General features: G+C 45.0%; 2 protein-coding genes across 39 annotated transcripts in view, besides 2 other annotated features; one reads left to right on the top strand and one right to left on the bottom strand.

Annotated features, from left to right (window-relative positions):
* SLC9D1 (solute carrier family 9 member D1) overlaps positions 1-9,953 on the bottom strand; it is a 59,209-nt gene extending 49,256 nt beyond the window's left edge. For 13 of the 30 annotated variants that reach the window (XR_007063685.1, XM_047430399.1, XM_047430404.1 and 10 more), the window contains exons 1-4: positions 6,329-7,345; positions 4,949-5,472; positions 2,453-2,632; positions 825-1,016 (exon numbers count right to left, since the gene is read on the bottom strand). Coding sequence is in view for 27 of the 30 variants with exons in the window: in XM_047430399.1 (XP_047286355.1) it covers positions 825-1,016; positions 2,453-2,632; positions 4,949-5,472; positions 6,329-6,356 (924 nt within the window). In the remaining 3 variants the exon portion in view is untranslated. Of the gene's footprint in view, positions 1-824; positions 1,017-2,452; positions 2,633-4,948; positions 5,473-5,656; positions 5,817-6,328 lie in introns of those variants that run through there. The other 17 variants (NR_146222.2, NR_146221.2, NM_017905.6 and 14 more) reach the window with 7 other exon arrangements.
* Positions 9,411-21,042, top strand: part of DCUN1D2 (defective in cullin neddylation 1 domain containing 2) — a 35,745-nt gene continuing 24,113 nt past the window's right edge. For 2 of the 9 annotated variants that reach the window (XR_007063687.1, NM_001014283.2), the window contains exons 1-3: positions 10,263-10,307; positions 16,918-17,134; positions 20,231-20,399. Coding sequence is in view for 8 of the 9 variants with exons in the window: in NM_001014283.2 (NP_001014305.1) it covers positions 10,305-10,307; positions 16,918-17,134; positions 20,231-20,399 (389 nt within the window). In the remaining variant the exon portion in view is untranslated. Of the gene's footprint in view, positions 9,430-10,262; positions 10,542-10,587; positions 15,471-16,777; positions 17,135-20,230; positions 20,400-21,042 lie in introns of those variants that run through there. The other 7 variants (XM_017020647.2, XM_017020644.2, XM_017020643.2 and 4 more) reach the window with 7 other exon arrangements.
* Positions 9,643-10,562: a silencer, noted in NCBI's record as "silent region_5548". NCBI's record gives its function as "represses an Ori minimal core promoter by ATAC-STARR-seq in GM12878 lymphoblastoid cells {active_cell/tissue: GM12878}" and the evidence as "EXISTENCE:reporter gene assay evidence [ECO:0000049][PMID:35858748]".
* Positions 10,793-11,092: an enhancer, noted in NCBI's record as "active region_8039". NCBI's record gives its function as "activates an Ori minimal core promoter by ATAC-STARR-seq in GM12878 lymphoblastoid cells {active_cell/tissue: GM12878}" and the evidence as "EXISTENCE:reporter gene assay evidence [ECO:0000049][PMID:35858748]".

The raw sequence follows: 21,042 nt of genomic DNA, 5'->3' as shown, positions 1-21,042 counted from the left end.
TGATTATTCATTACAAAGGGAGAAAGAATAGTTTTACAGATACCTCCACCCCTTCTTGGAGGGCACTGACAGAGTCACTCGGCAGCCCCAGCCCTCCTGGGACCCACTCCATCGTGACCACATCTCTCTCTGGCTAGTCCTCTTCCTCTCGCCTGAGATAGCACCGTCTTTGAGCCTAGATTCTCTGGCTTGGTTTCTGCTCCTGTACAAACCTCCAGTCTCTGCTGGAGACCTGACAGTATATCAGATCTTGCCAAGCTTCCCTGAGGGGCTGCACCTGTCATGGTCGTGCCACTCCCTCCTGAGTGACCACCCGAACCATGATGCTCTCAGCTTCAAGTACCTCCCTGCATAGCCTTTGTCTAGACCAAGTTCCTGGGAGGAAACAGGTCTGAATCCAGTTCCATCTGGAACGCCAGGCACTGCTGGATGGGTTCTCATGCTCTGCACCCCAGGGCTAAATGAAGCCATATATGACTCCTTAGCCAAGACCTCTCTGCCTTTTAAGGATTTTTAATTTTAGTGAAAATGGTTTTTAGATGACTAAAGCTTTAATCCCATTACAGTAACTCCTAATTTCAAAGTCTTCCAAATTCTCCAAAACAAAATTAACTTTCATTTTAAATATTAAAGTATCTTATTCCTTTAGAAAAAAAGATTAGAAATTAAGGGAAGATGCCTCAAATCACAGATAATGTACGGAATTCTAGTAAAATCTCTGCTAGAAGGAAGGCTGTGCCTTGTTCAGAAGATAAAGCTCGGTCATACTGACACCATGAACCAGGAATTGGGGGAAGGCAGGCATCCCCACCATGACTCACTACCTTTATAAAGTGGTGATCTGCACGTGGGATGGTTGAATCTCTGGGCTTGGTCAAAATATACTGGTTGTTCTGGGAGTCAATCAGCATGCTAAGACCCAAGTCATCCTCCACTTCTCGTTTTGTTATATTTTGCTTAGAATTGGCCTCTTCTTCCTCCACCCTCAGAACTGCCTCAAAATTGACCCCCTTGACCTGCAAGAATAATAATATTATGCAATTAAAATCCATTAAATGCTTTCAATTTTTGGAGAATGAACGCTAAACAGAAGAATGTTAAAAATACATCAATCAGTGTTCATTAGCAGTGAATTAGGACTTCTTTTTCAATTAAAGAAGTAATTTAAGAATGGATAGGTTTAGGATTTCTGCTACTTTCCAAGATCTACTTCACCATTCTTTCAAGAAATTCATAGCCCTTAAAATACGAGTTCTCCTCTAATTCCATAACTAGTAGATTTTAAAACAACTTGTTTCTTCTGCTCTATTTTTATTCTCTCTGCTTTCTTTTCTAATCTTATTCTGATTTGTTTTTATTACCCAACCTTTTTGTGAGTCCTCAAGACCCACAGTCAATTTTCGTCATCAGTCCCACTTTTTTTCTTAGAATCTTAAACACACTACAACAAATGAGCAGCCTGAATTCCTGCTTCAGAGATGAAGATCATTTTCTATAAGAAGTTCAATGTTCCCCTGTTACAGGTGTTCAAACCAGAGCGACTCCATCTTGAATATGAGCAGGGTAAAATGAGGATGAAACCTACTGGGCTGCATGTCCGGGACAGGCATTCTTAGTCACAGGGTGAGACAGGAGGTCGCCAAGACTGATATCACAAGATACAGGCCACAAAGACCCCGCTGACAAAACAAGATGCAGTAGAGAAGCCAGCCAAAACCCACCAAAACCAAGATGGCAATGAGAGTGACCTCTGCTCGTCCTCACTGCTCACTATATACTAATTATAATCCATTAGCATGTGGAATGACACTCCCACCCGCGCCATGACAACTTACAAATGCCATGGCAACATCTGGAAGTTACCCTATGTGGTCTAAAATGGGAGGAACCCTCTGTTCTAGTAAACCGCCACCCCTTTCCCAGAAAATTCATGAATAACCTACCCCTTGCTTAGCATGTAATCAAGAAATAATCATAAAAATAACCCACAGGGCTGCTCGCCTATGGAGTTGCCATTGTTTTGTTTCTTTACTTTCTTAATAAACTTGCTTTCACTTTACTCTATGGACTACCCCTGATCCAAGAACTCTCTCTTGGGGTCTGGATTAGGACCTGTTTCTGGTAACACCCCAGTAGATCAGCATTAAACCCAACTGTCCAGGCTGTCCTGAGACTAGAGTCCCAGTGTCCCAATCCATCTGGCCTCTGGAAAATGCAGACAAGCTGCTGAGGAGGGGAACTGACTGTCGGTGTTAAAAATATAAAAGGAAAATAAAAGATAATTAGCTTACTTCTACAAGACCAAATTATTTTCTCTACGACAGAGAAGCATTTTAGTTTGTCTTCATTTTCAATCTACATTAAAAACATACACGTGAACAATTTCAACAACATGTCTTCTGATTAGTGAGTGGCTCAGGAGGTGAAGAAGCAGCTGTTCTGGAACGCTTACTGATTTATTGTCGTCAAAAGCATGTTCCTCTATCTCTTCCTCCAGACGATCCGCTGCCTTTCTTACATCTTCAAGAATCTCGTCAAGCATGGATAAACTTTGGTTTTGATGTTGCATATTTTTAAGGGCTTCAACTTGATGTTTTTCTGCTGCCAGAAGTTCCATATATTCTGTTTCTTCCTATTCATTTGTAAGAAAAGAAGAGTGAGATATATTAAGAAATAAGCTAGGACATGACTTTCTTAATCAATCCTCCTGCTTTGTCAAATGTCCCTGTTCATATGTCAATAACTTAATTCTGGTCAGCTAGGGAAGTCACGTGTCCTAGTTATTCAAACATAACTGAGCTTAGCCAAATGTTTAGGGAAAGGTTTTTGTGTACGTACATCAACACACGTAAGAAACATTTGTTACACAAAAGTAAATGTAATATCTGTAGGTCATCCATTCACACAAAACTCATTTACTCAACAGTGACTGTGCTCCAGGTCTATCATGTGTGTGAGTGCAGCGGTACTTTAAAACCAGATGTGAGACCTGAATGTGGAGCTACTATCTAAATGCAATGCACAGTCAAATTCAAGTTACAAGGGAAAGCTGTTCCAAAACACATGTAGAAACCAACAGCATTAATCATTTGAAGAACTGATGGATGATGCTGGCAATATAATTTAGTAATGTATTTTACACAATTATATTTAATCAATAATCTTACTTTTAAACATTTATTCTTAGCTAAAGGGGTGGGACAAGGCCAGAGCAGAGAGGACCAGAGCCTAGAAGAACATCATCGCCTCAATTACTAAGTAGTCATGAGACATCATCTGATGCCACTGACAAAGAGCTGCAGGTCTCACACAGCTGCAGGTCTCTCACACAGCTGCAAGACTCACACAGCTGCAGGTCTCACACAGCTGTAGGTCTCACACAGCTGCAGGTCTCACACAGCTGCAGGTCTCACACAGCTACAAGTCTCGCACAGCTGCAGGTCTCACACACAGCTGCAGGTCTCACACAGCTGCAGGTCTCACACAGCTGTAGGTCTCACACAGCTGCAGGTCTCATACAGCTGCAGGTCTCACACACAGCTGGTCTCACACAGAGCTGCAGGTCTCACACAGCTGCAGGTCTCACACACAGCTGGTCTCACACACAGCTGCAGGTCTCACACAGCTGCAGATCTCACACACAGCTGCAGGTCTTGCACACAGCTGCAGATCTCACACACAGCTGCAGGTCTTGCACACAGCTGGTCTCACATAGCTGCAGGTCTCATGCACAGCTGCAAGTCTAGCACACCAAAGCAGACCTGACACACAGCTACAGGTGTTAGCACACAGCTGGGGCCTATCACAGAGATGCAGGTTTGACTGACACACAACTGCAGACTTGACACACAGCTGCAGGTCTATCACACAGCTGCAGGTCTGACACACAGCTGCAGGTCAAGCACGCAACTGGAGGGCTAGTATAGCTGCAGGTCACCGGCACCTGGAGAATCTCAGCATAGGAGATAATAACTAGCATATGTTAAAATACTGTTGATATGTTATGAAGTGTGCATACCAGGAGCCAATGTTACTCAAACTCATGTTTTTTCTCTATAATAAAACCACCACAAATCTGGACCTTACCAATGTATCTTCACGTCTCCACTGTACACAGGGTCACAGTAGCTCATGCACATATCACACAGGCAAGACAAATGAATCAGTGTTATTGAAAACCTTGATTTATACATTTGCCTGATAATCATATTTCTCTCCCCCAAAATATATTTTGGTAAAGAAAGTTTAATGTCTGTATTTTCTCTAACGTTTATGCTGTGTAATAATATCACAGGTTTTTCTATGAAGATGACGTGATACTTTATATATTTAAAGGGCTTGGCATGATGCTTGGTATAGTAGAGGTACTCAAGAAATGATGGCTTTAAAAAATGTAAACAGCTAATACAACATCTGATACAGTAATTTCAGAAACTTCCCATCATTTTAAAAGCATACTTGGTCAAAGTCCTTAATTCAAATGTATATATTAGTTTAAAACTAATTTTAGTATTTTTATTTTCGATATATGACACTGAAGAAAAGTCAAACTTCACACTAAAAGGAACTCCTGTCAGAAACTCAGCAAATGTTGATTTAAGTTATATTTATCTTTGCATCAGTTTACTAGTACAACTTGAATAACTTTTTGAATTACCAGGGGATTTCTCTATAGAGAAAAGTATGAGACTGGCTCCTTCTAGAAGTAAGAGCTACACTATTATGCAAAAGGAAAAGATTCTCCCTCACATGAGAGATTTTTCTAGATGCGATTTCCTGTGAAAGACAACACCTGAGCGACATCAGCAGCATTCACGCCTTCCCTTCCTGTCTGCTCCCCAGCTCCGTGTGGGCTGTCTCTAGGATGAGGATGTGGGCACGCACTCTCCCTCTCTCTTCACCTCTCTCTCCCTCTCCCTCTCTCTCTCTCTCCCTCTCTAGGACTGACCTTTATTGCAGCCTCTCTCAGGGCCTCCAGGCGCTGCCGGCTGCTCTCCTTCATGTTCACGACATCTTTGTAATCCCCCTGCAGGGCTCTCTGCAGTCCGTAGACAGCTTGGAAAACGGAATTTTCACTTTCATTCAGCTCTTTCTGGAAAATTTCAAACGTGTGCACCTGAAACAGTTTCTCTTCATCCGACAGGCCCACGTCTTTCTCCACTGCTCCAATTGCAGTTTTCAGTTTGTTCAGAACTGCATTCTTCTGGCGGAGAAGCCCTGAGAGCTTCCTGCAGCTGTCCCGGACCCACTGCCGGCTCTGCATGGCAGCCACCCCTCGCCCGCGGTGCAGTTTGATCACACGCTGCGCCACCTCCTCGTGCTCCACAGCCTGCACCGCCCAGGGAAGGACGGGAAACAGCACCCAGAAGAAGCTTCTTCCCAACACCTTCATGATCCAGGTCCGGAGGGCAGGGCACAGCAATCCACGGGTCTCTGCCCCACTGAGCTTGCATGTCAGACACACATTTTCAGCTGAAAAAGAGTTATTGTCACACATAGTTAAACAATGATTCATTACTATTGATCAGAGTATTAAATAATCAGATCTGAAAAACTGACACCTTTCTGAAGAAATTCTCATTTTTCCTAGATAAATATCAACATCTAAACTATTTATTTCACTGAGATTAAAATCAAATACTGAATGTTGATGTACCTTGTATGGTGCTTTGTGAAGGGCTGAGATGATTAAAGGTCAGCTACATCTTTATAGAAAGGATTAAAGGTCATTTTTTTGGGGGGCGACGCAGCCTCGTATCTCTACCAACTCCACCATGTGCAAAAGACATTAACCAAGTCTATTTAAGAGAGTCCATGTTGGTTGGGCATGGTGGCTTATGCCTGTAATCCCAAGCACTTTGGGAGACCAAGGCAGGCAGATCACCTGAGGTCAGGAGTTCAAGACCAGCCTGGTTAACATGGTGAAACCCTGTTTCTACTAAAAATATGGGCCTGGTGGCGCACGCCTGTAATCCCAGCTACTAATCGCTAGAACCCGGGAGGCGGACGTTGCAGGGAGCCCAGATCACGCCATTGTACTCCAGCTTGGGCAACAACAGCAAAACTCTGTCTCAAAAAAAAAACAAAAACAGAAAGTCCATGTTATCGAAGCCCAGAAAATACCATCAACTTCCCCTCACAGGTCACTGGGTTGCTTGGGGACACCATGCTCAACGTCACTCCAGAAACGAAATCTTCTGAGCTACTGTTAGCTCTGCAGGCTTCTTAAAATCATTTGAAATGTTGCCACATTTCCAAAGTCAGTCTACAGTCAAGTGCTACCAAGATGTCAAGAATTAAAAATATATATATATATATGCCACAATACCTAGATCTCTAGAACTTTTTGTTATCATCCCAATTCAGTCTCCTTCTCTTCCTTTCTTTAGGAATACCTAAAACAATGTATATTAATTTATCCTGGCAAGGCACAGCACAGACAGGAACCTGCTTTCTGAACATTACTGCTGGGGGAATGAGGACGGTTTCAGTGCGGCTGTAGCCGTGGTGTCCAGGTGGTGATGAGCAGGGGTAGGGCAAGGCACCCAGACAGGAGCACTGTTCAGAAAGCAGGATGAGACAGCGGCCAGCAAAGGTCACTAAGGCAGAACGAGCTGAGAGGTGGGAAACCGAGACCGTGGAAGGAAGGAGTAATAAACGTAGAGTCCGTGGAATTTGGCCACTAGGAGATCACCAGTCACAAGTAGCTATCCCAAAAAAGGCAACAAAACCAACACCTACCACTTACGCAGATTTACAGTTTAAAGTAAACAACAACAAAATATTAACCTAACCATTCTTCATAGCAGCATCCAATGGACTGTTACTCAGGAATTCCTACTCAACCATCACATATTACAAAGATTCCCCGACCTGGAAACCTGGTTACTAAAAGATGTATCTATATATCTATACTTTCATTTCACTGCTAACCCAAATTCTAATTGGTTTAATCGAGTTTCCCAGGCAAAGTAGGTTAGATGCAGCAAAAGTAAGGGCAGCATTTCTGGAGGCAGCATTCTGCCCAAACCATGAAATGGCAGCCACAGAAAGAGACAAACCTTATGCAAAACAAACAGGAGAACTAAAAAAGCCTGGAGGCCAGATGACTCGGTGAAGGCTCAGCGACTGTCTGCACCCCAGCAGGTCCTGAAGACAGTACTGTGTTAGACAACAGTACTGATCAGAATTACAAGCAAAAGTCACCAAGAAAAGACTATATTCTGGTTAGAAAGTGTTCAATTCAAAACATTCTTGGAGACTGACTCCCAAAAGGAGAAGCACACTCCACAGAGAATTCACTTACCTAGAACAGGTAACTTCCTAACAAGATAGGATAAATGATAATGTGCTGTTCCAATCACTCAATTTTATGTTAGTTTCAATACAACTTTAAGTACACGTGTACAACTTTAAGTACACATTTACCACCTTAAAAACAAACAATGAGGCAATCACTTAGTCATGCCTAGCCATATAGCTGAGCTGTTATTTTAATGACTCACTCAACTGCTAAGCTTCTCTCGGTTGGTCCAACGGAGCTAAATAAATCAACAGCTACTTCACAAGTGAACTTTTAGTATTTTCCAGAACCAAGACAGAAATCTGAGATGCTTTGCTTACACTTCCCAGTTTCCCCAAAAGATCCCAAAAAGTGATTCTTTGATGGATTTTATGCTTCAGAAAAATAAGTTTCAACACAGCTCATGTGTGAATGACACCTCTATGTTCATTTCTGGTTCCTTCCTCAATCAGGTTCCTAAAATTAGTTGTCCCTCTAAGGGAGCTATAATTTTTATGAGAAACCTTTGAGGATTTTAGTTGTAGTTATACTAAAATTTCCCACTGAAACATACTCATAACATGAAACTGAAATTATTTATGGACCCTTAAAATACAAATCACCTTTATTCAAACTCATTTCATTTTATCTTCAAACTTGCCTCCAAAATCCTACTGACTACTAAATTGTAGCATGTTTTTTGAGCAAATTAGTAAACATCTTTAGCTGTTCTAGTTATTAAAAAGACACTTTGGATTCCTGTAATGTGTTTTTTTTGTTGTTGTTGCTGTTTGAGACGGAGTTTTGCTCTTGTCACCCAGGCTGGAGTGCAGTGTTGTGATCTCAGCTCACTGCAACCTTTGCCTCCCGGGTTCAAGCAATTCTCCTGCCTCAGCCTCCCAAGTAGCTGGAATTACAGGCGCTCGCCACCACACCCAGCTAATTTTTGTATTTTTAGTAGAGACGGTGTTTTGCCATGTTGGCCAGGCTGGTCTCAAACTCCTGACCTCAGGTGATCCACCCACCTCAGCCTCCCAAAGTGCTGGGATTACTTTTTAAATAATGAATTCTTAGAATTTCTGCATCTTGAGCAATTGATACACATAACAATGCGGATGTATCTCAAGGCTGAGTGAAAAAAAATCTCAATTTTATTGAGAAGACACACAGGTGTAGATTCACACTCACTAGTGCATGTATAGTTGGTGCAATCTCAACAGGTCAGGGGATTTGATCAAAGAAAATTCCCCACATATACTATGGTTTTGCAAGGTGCTACCATTGGAGAAAACAGGGCAAAGGCACTCTGTAGGATTTCTCTGTATTACTCCTTACAACTTCATGTGATCTACAACCATCTCAAAATAAAAAGGTTTTCAAATTCTACCTAAGACCAGGTGCGGTGGTTAATGCCACTGCTGTATTACGACACAATTATCTGTATTCCCAGCGCTCTGGGAGGCTGAGGTGGGCGAACTGCTTGAGGTCAGGAGTTGGAGATCATCCTGGGCAACACAGCAAGACCCTGTCTCTATTAAAAATGAAATAATTAGCCGGGCGTGATGCTCCCTGTGGCCCCAGCTCCTGGGGAGGCTGAGGCGGGAGAATCGCTTGAGCCTTGACCAGCCACTGCACTCCAGCCTGGGCGACAGCAAAACTCTGTCTCAACAACCACAAAAAAGCTTTAGAATATTTAAGTCAAGCCTGTAGGAGAAAAAAACTACAAATATTTCACAAGTAATCCAATCATTAAGACACTCCTTTTGAAAAAGCCGGTAAATAAGATAAATTTGGAAGACAGAATAATCAGAAAAACAGGCAGTGAATAGGGACCCGATACGCAGCGGTCTTGCTTCCCCCGCGCAGGCGTCCACACCCTGGGTCATGGACACCGTGAGGAGCCGTTAGGAGTCACAGGAGGGGGGCCAGGGACAGGGCTGCATCTCTGCGGCCGGCCCTGGAGGCCCCGAGTCCACCCGGGCGGCCAGGGTGGGAACGCAGGTTCCATTCCAGGTTAGAACGTGGGCCTCAGCGAAGAGCGCCTAGGCAAGGCCTGGAGGAGCGGGACCCCAGGCCACACAGACCACCCGACCCCGGGAGACAATACCTGCAAGAAAAGGGGAGCCCCGAGGAGAGAGAGAGGGGAGGTGAGCCCCAGGGAGGGAGAGAGAGGAGGGGAGCCCCAGGGAGGGAGGGAAGGAAGGAAGGGGACCCCTGGGAAGGGAAGAAGGGAATGGGAGCCCCGGGGAGGGAGAGAGGGGAGCCCCAGGGAGGGAGGGAAGGAAGGAAGGGGACCCTTGGGAAGGGAAGAAGGGAAGGTGAGCCCCGGGGAGGGAGAGAGGGGAGGGGAGCCCCAGGGAGGGAGGGAAGGAAGGGGACCCCGGGAAAGAGCCCCGGATGGACGGGCCTGGTGCTCACCGGGACGCAGGGATCCGCGCCCGCCCGTCCGGCCCGAGCATCACCGTTCCGCGGCCTGGGCCGGGCTCTGAGGCGCCAGGACCCGAGGGGCGGAGGGGGACGCTGTCTCCCGCCTCGGAGCGCAGCGCCGGAGGGCTTCCTTGCATCCCTTCCCAGGCGGGACCAGGGAGGCCGGGAGGCCGGGAGTCCGGGAGGGAGCGGCCGCCGCCCTGCCCAGCACCGCCCCCGCTCAGCCAAGCCGACCCGGACTCCCGCCCAGCCGCAGTCACTGCCCCCTTTAAGAGGCGGGGCGTGGGCGGGTCCCGTCGGCCGCGGGCGGCGAGCACTTCCTGGCCGGCGTGGGGCCTGGCAGCCGCAGGCTGGCGTTGGACCCCGCAGGGGCGAGCCAAGGCCCTCGCAGAGGGCTGGACGCGCAGGGGCTGTGGGGCGCGAGCTCCCGTGGGCCCCCGGGCGGCGCTGAGCATGCCGGGAGTGGGAGTCCCCGCGGCCGGCTCCCGGCACTGCCCCGGAGCCGAGGGCCGCGGCCGTCCGAGGACGAGGGCGGAGCCGCCGCCGCGCCTGCGCAGAAGGCCGGGGCCGGCCAGAAGCGGGCGGCGCGGGGGAGATGGTAGGTGGCCCGGCGTCGCCTCTGCCCGTCGGGGTCGGGGTCGGGGTCGGGCCCCAAGGTCGGCGCAGGCGGCGCGCTGGATGTGGGAGGCCGAGCCCAGCGAGCTGCGCGGGGCGTTCCGCGTGGATCCGAGGGAGGAACGCGCCGCGGGCCCGCGAGCCGGAGCGGTGGCGTCGGAGGCGCGGGACCGCGGGGAGCGCGGGTTTGACCCGGAGCCGCGAGGGACGACCGGGAGTGAGCGGAGGGCGGGGGCCGGGAGGAACTGTAGGGGCCTTGGGGCAGGGGCCGGGGCCGAGCGGGAACCCAGGCCGGGGGCTTCCCAGGGCGGCTTCGAAACGGGCAGTCGAGGCGGGCGAGGGCTCGGCTGCTCCTGCGGGCGTCTGTGCAGATGCTGAGGCTGTTGACCAAAACAGCGCAAGGAAGGAATCCGCGAGAAGCTCAGATTCGCGGGGGAGGCCCTGCTGCCGGGAGGGGAGGGAGAGGCACAGCGGGGCCCTAGCGCGGGCTCTAGCCGGGAGCTGTAGCGTGGCTGTAGGTGTGCATCTGTGGAGCTGGTAGAGTTCCGCAGCGCAGGAGGGAGGCTGCTGGAGGTGCACATCAGTTACTTTGAAATGTGGTGGAAATGGTGATGGATGGGATTTATTCAGTCCACATCGGTTCAGAGGCCAGCAAGGTGCTGCTGGGTGTGACTGGTGCTGGGCCAGGCATGATCTTGGCGTTGAGGGAGTTGATGCCCCAGCAGGGGAGACAGGCACCAGATGCACAATTGTTTGACCACAGTTGGGACAAAGGCTAAGGCACGGGTTCCAGGAACTTGTAGGATGCGGCTGTGGGAGTGGTGTCAGATGCTGAGGGTGTGAGTTGAACTGTGGAGAATTTCTCTGGAAATTAGCCAGAGAAAAAGTGAGGTTCCGGGGCAGCCAGCCGTGTGCGGCTCCAGGCAGAAGAAACAGAATGCACAGACCCTTAGTGGTAGGCGATGATGACGTATAGGAGCTGAAAGATTGTCCTGGCTAAGGCACAGAGAGCCACCGGAGAAGGGACACGGTAACGTGTAGAGGGGAGTGGAGGGTGAGGACAAGCTTCAGGATGGGAGAAGAGCCACAAAGGAGACTGAGAGGGGGCTGGTAGGAGAAACCAGGACACTAGAATGTGTCGAAACCAAGAGGATGGAGTTTAAAGGAGGAGGGAGCCATCAGCAGTGCTGAACAAAAGAGCAGCTGAAAAGATCCCACTGACCGCAGCAGCCGAGCTTTTGTGACCTTTAGGGGTCACTGCGGAGGCCGGGCTGGAGCCAGGTAGCCTGAGTTAGGATGCACACCTGGGCAGGTAGAGATAGCTTGCTCCAGCTTTTAGGAGGACAGGGGCAGAGTGGACAGGAACTTAGTTTGGGGAAAACTTGAACATGTTCAGGATGCTGGAGAGGAGCGTTCCACTGCTGCCGAGGTTGGAGATCCAAGAGCAGGGATGAATTTAACTCCCCCTCCCTCTAGCGTGCTGTATACCGAAACAGAGTGAAAGTGATCCATAAACTTACGTAGTTTATTCGATCAACATGATTGGCCCGCCAGCCCCGGGTAAGTTGACCCTAAGGACATTTTAAGAGTAATTTCTTTCCATTTTACATATGGGTATCCTTGGTGCCAGATTATATGAGTCGTATTTCACAAGGTCACAATTAAAGTGTTTGAGACTTTTTTATAGTTTAGAGATTTTATTTGCTGTTTCCACTGGATTGTCCAGATTTTTATTTCAAGAATTGTGTACATTTTAACAGAAATAATGAAACCTAGAAAATGCCTTCCCCCCACCCCATGTACACACTTTAAAAGCTGGCCTTAATAATTTAATTTGCATGATGTGGTAAGCCTCAGTGAAGGTTGTGAGCTTGAAGGGCGGCCCTAGTTCCAGTGTATCCACCTTGATTAGATTGACCTGGGTTCAGTCCTGTCTGGGTGCACTCGAAGCTTCTTGCCAACGTCTGGGCCTTTGTTAATTTGACCTGGGTTCAGTCCTCTCTTGGTGCACTCAAAGCTTACTGCCAATGTCTGGGCCTTTGTAAATTTGATCTGGGTTTAGTCCTGTCTAGAGGGACTCGGCTTCCTTCTCTCCCCTGTAGTTTTTTAGTTGACGAGCCTTTTTGTTTCCTAAGAAGCTTTATGCCAGTTCCCTTTTTCACAAGAGGTAACTTGGGTCTCTCAGTCACTTTTGGACATGAAGCACCTAGTCTTTAGACTTAGCTATCGATCATTGCTTTAATCACTGTTATTTTATGGAGAAACCTGTAAGGGGTGACATCAAATGATTGCAGCTTTGTTGACTGACCAGAGGCCTGTTAATGGACTAAGCCTAGACCCCAAAGCTTCTCTTGCTCCTTCAGAACCAGTGCCTTGGCACCACCGTGTGGTTCAGGGTTTACTGGAGTATCTTGTGACATCAGACAATTTGAGTAGATTGCAGGGGGCTCTTCGTGTTTCTGGATACCGACTTCTGTCCACTCTAGCTAACAGTAGTGATTCAAAGCCATTTTGAGTGGCCTGGATCCATGTGCTCCTGCATCTGTTCTTCTAGAGTTCCAAGAAATTAGGCTGCTGGTGTTATGGTGTTGTCACACATTAGGGGAGGCTTCAAGGGGTTATCGGCAGGAGCTCAAGATCAGACACCATCATATCTTCCAGATTTGCACATTCCTGGTGTGGAGTCATCAGTTGTATAATGCTGGTTAAATAATTCAGTCGCCGAAGAGTATATTAGTCTGCTGATTGGTCTTGGAGGGTCTGAGGGTACAATGTTGAATTTTTTTAGGTGAAATTCATATAACATAAAATTAACTATTTTAAAGTGTACAATTCAGTGGTGTTTAGTACGTTCACAAATTTGTGGAACCACTACCTCTATCTAGTCCTAAAACATTTTTGTCACCCCGAACGATAACTGTACCCATTAGCAGTCACTCCCAACTCCTCCCTTGCCCCAGCCCCTGGCTACCACTCACCTTTCTCTCTATATAGATGTGCCCATTCTGGATATTTCATATAAGTGAAATCGTACACTGTGTGGCTGGAATCGCACACTGTGCGGCTGGACTCATGCACTGTGCGGCTGGAGTCGTGCACCGTGTGGCTGGACTCGTGCACTGTGGCTGGAGTCGTACACTGTGCAGCTGGAGTCGTGCGCTGTGTGGATGGAATCATACACTGTGTGGCTTCTTGTGCCTGGTTTCTTTTACTCAGTGTCAAAAGTTCATCCATGTGGCATGTATCAATACTTCATTCCTTTTTATGGCCGAATTATGTTCCGTTATATGGATATAGTAAATGTTGTTGTATAACCATGGCAGATTTTTAAATCTAGCAACGATGACCACTTCCATAATAAGGGCGTCATGGCTGTTCCTGGTGGTGGACCATTTTGGGGGCTGCACTTCTGTCTTTATCCTAAGGTTTTTGAGGTAATTCTTGGCTTTGCTCACCCTCCCTTGGGAAGGCTGTCAACTTCATAAAAAGACTCTAGCTGTATCTTTTGTCAGCTTACGGTCAGAGACTATGGGATCTGCCTTAATTTAGCTAAATTTGATCTTACCAGAGAATACAACCTTGAATTTTTTGTTTAGTTCTTTTCAAAAGCTCAGTTTCAGGAAATAATGTAGTGAATATGTATTCCATTTATTCCTCTAGAATCTAGATCGGGGTCGGCAAACTACAGCCCACAGGCTAGCTGTCTGTTTTTGTAAATTGAGTTTTATTGGAACACAGCCTACGGCTGTCTGCTTTGGCAACAGACCCACAGGCCTGAGATGGCAGAGATGGCTGCTGTCTGGAACATTAAGAGACAAAGTTGGCTGAATGAAGGCTTCTGATCTTCTTCATCCGTTCTTAATCTGAGTTCTACCTTCCCCTTGTGAGGACTTTGCAGATGGGCTTAAGCCATCTGTGAAACCCCTGAAATTTTATGCAAAGCTGCCTGCACGTGTGAGGGCCATATATGTTTTCCTGGAGGGCGGACCTGTGACTCCTCAGATTCCAAAAGGGATCCAAGACTCCCAAATGCTCAACACTCATTGTTTGAGTAGCCGAAATGTTAATTGCCTAGCATCACCTGAATTAGCCATTCTCTTAAGTGTTTAGTCTCAGGAGTTCGATGTGGTTTTTGGGTTTGTTTTTTGTTTTCTAACTTTTAGGTTCAGGGGTACATGTGCAGGTTTGTTATAAAGGTCAACTGTGTGTCATGGGAGTTGGTGTACAGATTATGTCGTCAACCAGGTACTAAGCACAGTAGCCGGTGGGTAGTTTTGGGATCCTCTCCCTCCTGCCACCCTCAAGCAGGCCCTGGTGTCTGTTGGTCCTTTTTTGTGTCCACGCCTGCTCAGTGTTCAGCTCCCACTTACAAGTGAGAACATGTGGCATTTGGTTTTCTGTTCCTGCGCCAGTTCACTTAGGAAAATGGCCTCCAGCTCCATCCATGTTGCTGCAAAGGACACAATCTCGGTCCTTTTTATGGCTATGTAGTATGCCATGGTATATATGTAGCACATTTCCTATATGTTTTTAAGAATGATTGGAACCCCAGTCATTCTTAAATGAGAGTTCTTGTTTGTGTGGGTAATAGTCATCAATATTGACCATATTAGAAATTAAAATAGTATTAAAATATTTCTATAGTTAATTAGCAATAAAAACCCATTACATTTTTGCAAATATCTTAATGTCTGGCTTGATAAAAGATAGGCTCTCGAATCTCGCGTTCATTCCTGTGATATCACAGGCCTTGCAGCCCACGGAGGCCTCTGCTGTGCACTCTGTGAGAATGAGAGTGAGCAAGGCTGGTGGCGGCTTAGGACGCTCGGGAAGGTAGTTCTGTGGGACTCCTGAAAGGCCTCAGGACCCAGGATCCCAGATGCACACGGGAGAGTATGTATCTGGACAGCGTTATCTTAATGCCTCTGCAGAATCGTCCTCTGGTATTTTGGCATCAGCATGCTTTTTGATTGCCTGTCTCAAAAAAAAAAAAACTTCTGGAAGCTGGCTCTGCTGTACGTGGTTGGCATTTTGGTGAGGAATTGGTATGTGTGAGGGGACATTGAACTTTGTGAGGAGCCGCAGAAGACGTTTCCTCAGGTTTTAGGCCAGAAGGGTCTGTATCTGTACCACTTCTGAGCTGCTGGTAAGGTTTTAGATCTTATGAAAACGGATTTTCCTAACTAATCGTGTTTTCTTTGCTGTGGCACTGGGGAAGCTTGGAGCCTGATTTCCAGCTCTTACATGTGACAGGCACGTCCTTGTACTAATGGCACCCCTTCCTTATCCACACCTTGTTATCCTTCTATATACTTTTGTTAAGTTATGTTATAAATCATTCCATGTGTTTTTATAAGTTGTCTCATCTTTATTTGAACAAGATTGAGTATAAATCGTTTTGAGTAAAAAATTTCCTGCTTATATTATTGTGTAAAGCATTTTTGTAAAACGTTAGCATCCAGTGGATTCTAGGGTCTGTTTGGATTTAGAGAAGTTAGTGTATCACTTTCTTTTCCAGTGTTGCTTTTATCAGGTTACTTTATTTATTTATTTATTTATTTATTTATTTATTGAGATAGAGTCTCGCCCTGTCGCCCAGGCTGGAGTGCAGTGGCACGATCTCAGCTCGCTGCAATCTCCACCTCCCAGGTTCAAGTGATTCTCCTGCCTCAGCCTCCCAAGTAGCTGGGACTATAGGCGCATGCCACCACACCCAGCTAATTTTTGTATTTTTAGTAGAGATGGGGTTTCTCCATGTTGGCCAGGATGGTCTTGAACTCCTGACCTCAGGTGATCCGCCTCAGCCTCCCAAAGTGCTGGGATTACATCATCAAGTTACTTTAGATAAGTGGAAACTCAGCCCTCCTATATCTGAAAGTGTCAAGATGTTACTTTGTTTCATTATATACTATATATAGTACAGCTATTTGGCAGTTTTGTTATTTATTGCCTGCCCAGAGCCTCTGTCCTATTTTTTCATTTTATTTCTGTCTGGTATACAGAGGCATTCTTGTTATTAGTATTATTGTTTCCATTTAATCATAACAGGTTTTTTTGTGCCTGCTTGTGAAATTTTCATAAATTACTTTTAACGCTATTCTTAGTTATTTGTGTACATTTTCATCAATGTGATTCTGTGATTTAAAGTGGGAAAAAAAATCTCCAAACCGCACAGCCTCTTCCCATTCATTAAAGCCTGAACTTTATTGAAACCAAAGAAGACTGCAGCTGTGACCCCCGCTGGTGCCGTAAGGTCCTTGCCCTGTGTCCTCAGAGGCTAGATGTGCATTACAGAGTTACTGAGAGTTTTAGAGAAAAATGATAGTCACACTTCATGCAGAGTGAACTGGATAGAGATCAGAATGTATTTTGTATAAAATGTTAATTCTCATAATTTTTGAAGCTTAGACTGCCTGTTTGTTACAGTATAGATGCTGTTGTTTCCATTTTCAGAAGACTGTGCAGTCTTTGTAACTGATGAAGAGCAAGGCTTTGTCTCTAATTCTGCCCAGTTAAAGTGCAGGCGTTAGGCTAAAGCTGGGACAAACCTGGAGCGGCTTCATTGGCTTTCCTACTTCTTTTGCATCCCAAAGCATAAGCTTAAATCGTCTCAGAAGGACAAGGTCCGCCAGTTTATGGCGTGCACTCAGGCTGGCGAGAGAACTGCTATCTACTGCTTAACGCAGAATGAGTGGAGACTAGACGAGGCCACGGACAGCTTCTTCCAAAACCCAGACTCGCTCCACAGGGAGTCCATGCGGAACGCTGTGGACAAGAAGAAGCTGGAGCGGCTGTACGGCAGGTACAAAGGTAAGAGGAGACTGCAGCAAAGCCGGACGGATGTCGGCCTCCGCGAGCGGCCTGCGCGCTGCACTTCCAGGGTTCTGGTGCCGGGGCAGGTCTCCGGGCTGCCGTTGCTTCTCCTCCCCACGCTCAGCGCTCGGCGCTCAGCTGCAGAATCCACTTGCTTCTGTGTAAATGGGGCTGGGACTGTGATTGGTGGGGGTGGGGAGGGCGAGAAGAGTGGAGTCAGCGATGGGGCAGGGCCAGGCCCGTGCCCGCTTGTTCTGTGCGGTGAGTCTGACGCTGCACAGCCTGTCAGGGAAAAGCTGCTGCTGGGAGGCTTGGTGTCTTGGCGTGACTGTGTCTGTTAATACAGTATTTTTTTCAAGCACTTCTATTTAGGCTGAAATATTGATGATGAGAAGGTTAAGAACAACAGCAAATCATGAAGATGATCTGAAGTGAGGGTAAACCTTAGTGTTTTCCTTGCCCGGGTAGTGGCGTGTCAGCCCTGAAATAGCTTCAGTGATTAGAGAGGCTTTGGGAAAAGCTCGCAGCAAAGAAACTTTTTGTTGCAGATTGTGATTTTTATTGACATCAGTGCTTGGATCGGAGCTTCTTGTCAAAATGCTTCTTGTCAAAATGTGCCTTGAACTGAGACTGCCGTGATGAGCATACGCAGATCCACGCCCCTCTGCAGGCTTTAAATTTCATGTCCAATGCAGAGGGACAGGCAGCAGTCTAAGAGCTGACTTATTTTGCTTTTTCTTTCTAGCAGTTTTTAAGGCTAAGTTTTCTAAAACTTTAAAACAAAACCAAGCCCTGACTCTCATTTAAACAAGTGTTAGCCCAAATATACAATAATTTCCTTGGCTTTAAGTTCTTGTTTGTTTGTTTATTGTTGTCTGTGTGTGTGTGTGTTTATGTGACGGAGTCTTGCTCTGTCACCAGGCTGGAGTGCAGTGGTATGATCTCGGCTCACTGCATCCTCTGCCTCCCACATTCAAGCGATTCTCCTGCCTCAGCCTCCAAAGTAGCTGGGACTACAGGTGCATGCCACCACGCCCAGCTAATTTTTGTATTTTTAGTAGAGACGGGGTTTCACCATGTTGGCCAGGATGGTCTCAATCTCTTGACCTCATGATCCACCCGCCTCGGCCTCCCAAAGTGCTGGGATTACAGGCATGAGGCACCGCACCCAGCCAAGTTCTTGTTTATTTATTACTTTCGTTTTTTACTTTTTAAAATACTGTGTGTGTGCTTTAGTCTTTCTTTTTAGGTCTGAAAAGTGAGTTGAAAATTGCTTTAAAAAATCTTGGCTCAGAAACATAGTCAGTGGTAAAACAAACCAGGTTTGTACTTATTGTAGTTCCCAAAGAATGAAAATTGTTCTTAGTTAAGCTTTAGTCTACTTTAAAAATTTTTGGCTAAGTTAATTGTTGAGCTAATTTTGTAAGTCATATGCTGATTTTTATGCAGATTTTTAAAAGTTATTTAAATATATACAGCAGCCTTTGAAAAAATACTTGTGTATAAGTGGAAAATTGTGTCTTTGGGTGTTATTGAAGCTTCATCCCTTCATTATTATTTAACTTTATTCATGCAATTATACTCAGTTAAAGTAGAAACGTGGTACAATCACTTTAGGCTCTAAAAATAAACGTAGTTCTAAGACTGTTGACAAATATAACATTGGTTATGACATTAACATATACAAATGAACAAGTACTTGCAAAATTACTTGAAATGTTGAACACGGTTGTAATGAAATTTACTGAGATGGTTTATTAGCTCAGAGCATTGTAGATCAATATTTCTATTCATGAAGTATAGAATTAGGAGATGGAATTGAATAAGGTGATAAGTGGGGATTTTTTTTACAGAACCTCTGTCCCATAAACTATGCTGAGGTTGTTTTCTCCCTGATATAAGAGAATAGAGTTAGAAGGATGTTTATGGCTTTCTTCATTTTGTTACCAATTTTTCTTTTTTTTTTTTTTTGTCACCCAGGCTGGAGTGCAATGGCATGATCTTGGCTCACTGCAACCTCCACCTCCTGGGTTCAAGCGATTCTCCTGCCTCAGCCCCCCGAGTAGCTGGGACTATAGGCGTGAGCCACCCCGCCCAGTTAATTTTTGTATTTTTAGTAGAGACGGGGTTTCGCCATGTTGGCCAGGCTGGTCTTGAACTCCTGAGCTCAGGTGATCCACCCGCCTCGGCCTCCCAAAGTGCTGGGATTATAGGCGTGAGCCACCGTGCCCAGCCACCAATTTTTCTTTGGTAACTATATATATGTGGTAGTATACTACTTAAATGACCAAAGTTAAATTTTGTGTGAAGGGGAAGAAAAGTTTATCATACCTAATCTTTCTTTGAGCAGAGAAGCTACAGGTTTTCTACTTTTACCTTCTAAACCAACAATTTACCTACGCATTATGATAATATGATATAATCTGTCTGAAATTACTAGCTTTAGTGAAGTCTTGCTGGGATGCCTTAAATATATTTTACTGTTTGATTTTCTGATAAACAAATGCTAAGTTCTTTAATTTTATTTCTAAACTAGAAATAGGGGGTGGGGAACCTGAATTTCTAAGCTATTAAATGTGGATACATAAGCTAAATGATTCTGAGAAGTAGTTATTGTCCAGTACCATTAGAATTAGCAAATGAAATCACTTAAGAAAAACATCAATCATTCATTTACTTTGGCAGAGTTGTGATAAAAACTCAAGATATTGTAAATACTTTATCAATACAGTATATTTTATAGCAGTTTGCCTTTGGGTGAGCTAAATTTCTGTAAACTTAAATTTTTATTTCACTTTAGGGAAATTAAGTTTTTCTTAGTGAACAGATCTTCTCAAAAAAAATTCAGTGATTTTTTTTTTTCCCTAAAACCCAGAAACCTAGATTTTAAAAATAGGACCGTTTTCTGGATAAATTATTAGTTGCTCACTATTTCTTTCATGTGTAGTAGAAAACTGCAGCCTATTGATTGATGTATTGGAAACACGCTTGCTAGAACTATGTAGTATAATCGAATGCTAGGATTCAAACCTCCTATTTTAGAATTACTTTTCAAAATAGTATAACTTCCTTTTCCCCTGATATTAACTACAGATCCACAAGATGAAAACAAAATTGGAGTCGATGGGATTCAACAGTTTTGTGATGATCTGAGCCTGGATCCTGCCAGTATCAGTGTATTGGTCATAGCGTGGAAGTTCAGGGCAGCAACTCAGTGTGAATTTAGCAGAAAGGAATTTCTAGATGGCATGACAGAACTTGGGTAAGTCAACTATTCTTAGCTTAAATGTTTTCAGAAATGAAAATACTTCTAACATTATTTTTCAGCAACCTGTACATACTAATTTCATATCTGCTTATTTTCTTTGTGTATCTTTAAAATTTCTTATGCGTCTGTACTCTCCGCACTATCAAGCCTTTGGTTTCCTTTTAATTTTCAATTTAACACTTTATTTCATTTCACATTTTTATTTTTTTCATATTAATCCCTTTTGTAACTCATTTTCTTCTTTTTGAGTTTTTTCCTTTCCAATTTTGAATTGACAGTAAATGCCAGGTTCAGTTCATTCGTGTTATTTCATAATACTGTATATTAAACGTAGAATTTCTTATGCTGCTCTGTTAAAAACTAAGATGTCATTTTGGTTTTTGCTTGTAACATTTTTCTATTCTACCTACAGGATTGGGATAAAGGCTTCATTAATAACTTAAGGTGTTTCTCGCTTATCAGATAAGTTATAAAAGTAAATGAAAGGGCCTAATGTAACTGTCTCTTAATCATTAAGCTTACTGAACTACAGTCATGCACTACATAATGACATTTCGGTCAACAGTGGACCGCTTATACAACAGTGGTCCCGTAAGGTTAGAATGGGGCTAAAAAATTCCTACATCCCAGCCATCAT

The sequence above is a fragment of the Homo sapiens genome, chromosome 13, assembly GCF_000001405.40.
Source record: "Homo sapiens chromosome 13, GRCh38.p14 Primary Assembly".
NCBI lineage: Eukaryota > Metazoa > Chordata > Mammalia > Primates > Hominidae > Homo > Homo sapiens.
The sequence above is the reverse complement of the archived record's forward strand: the minus strand, read 5'-3'. Positions and strand labels throughout refer to the sequence as shown.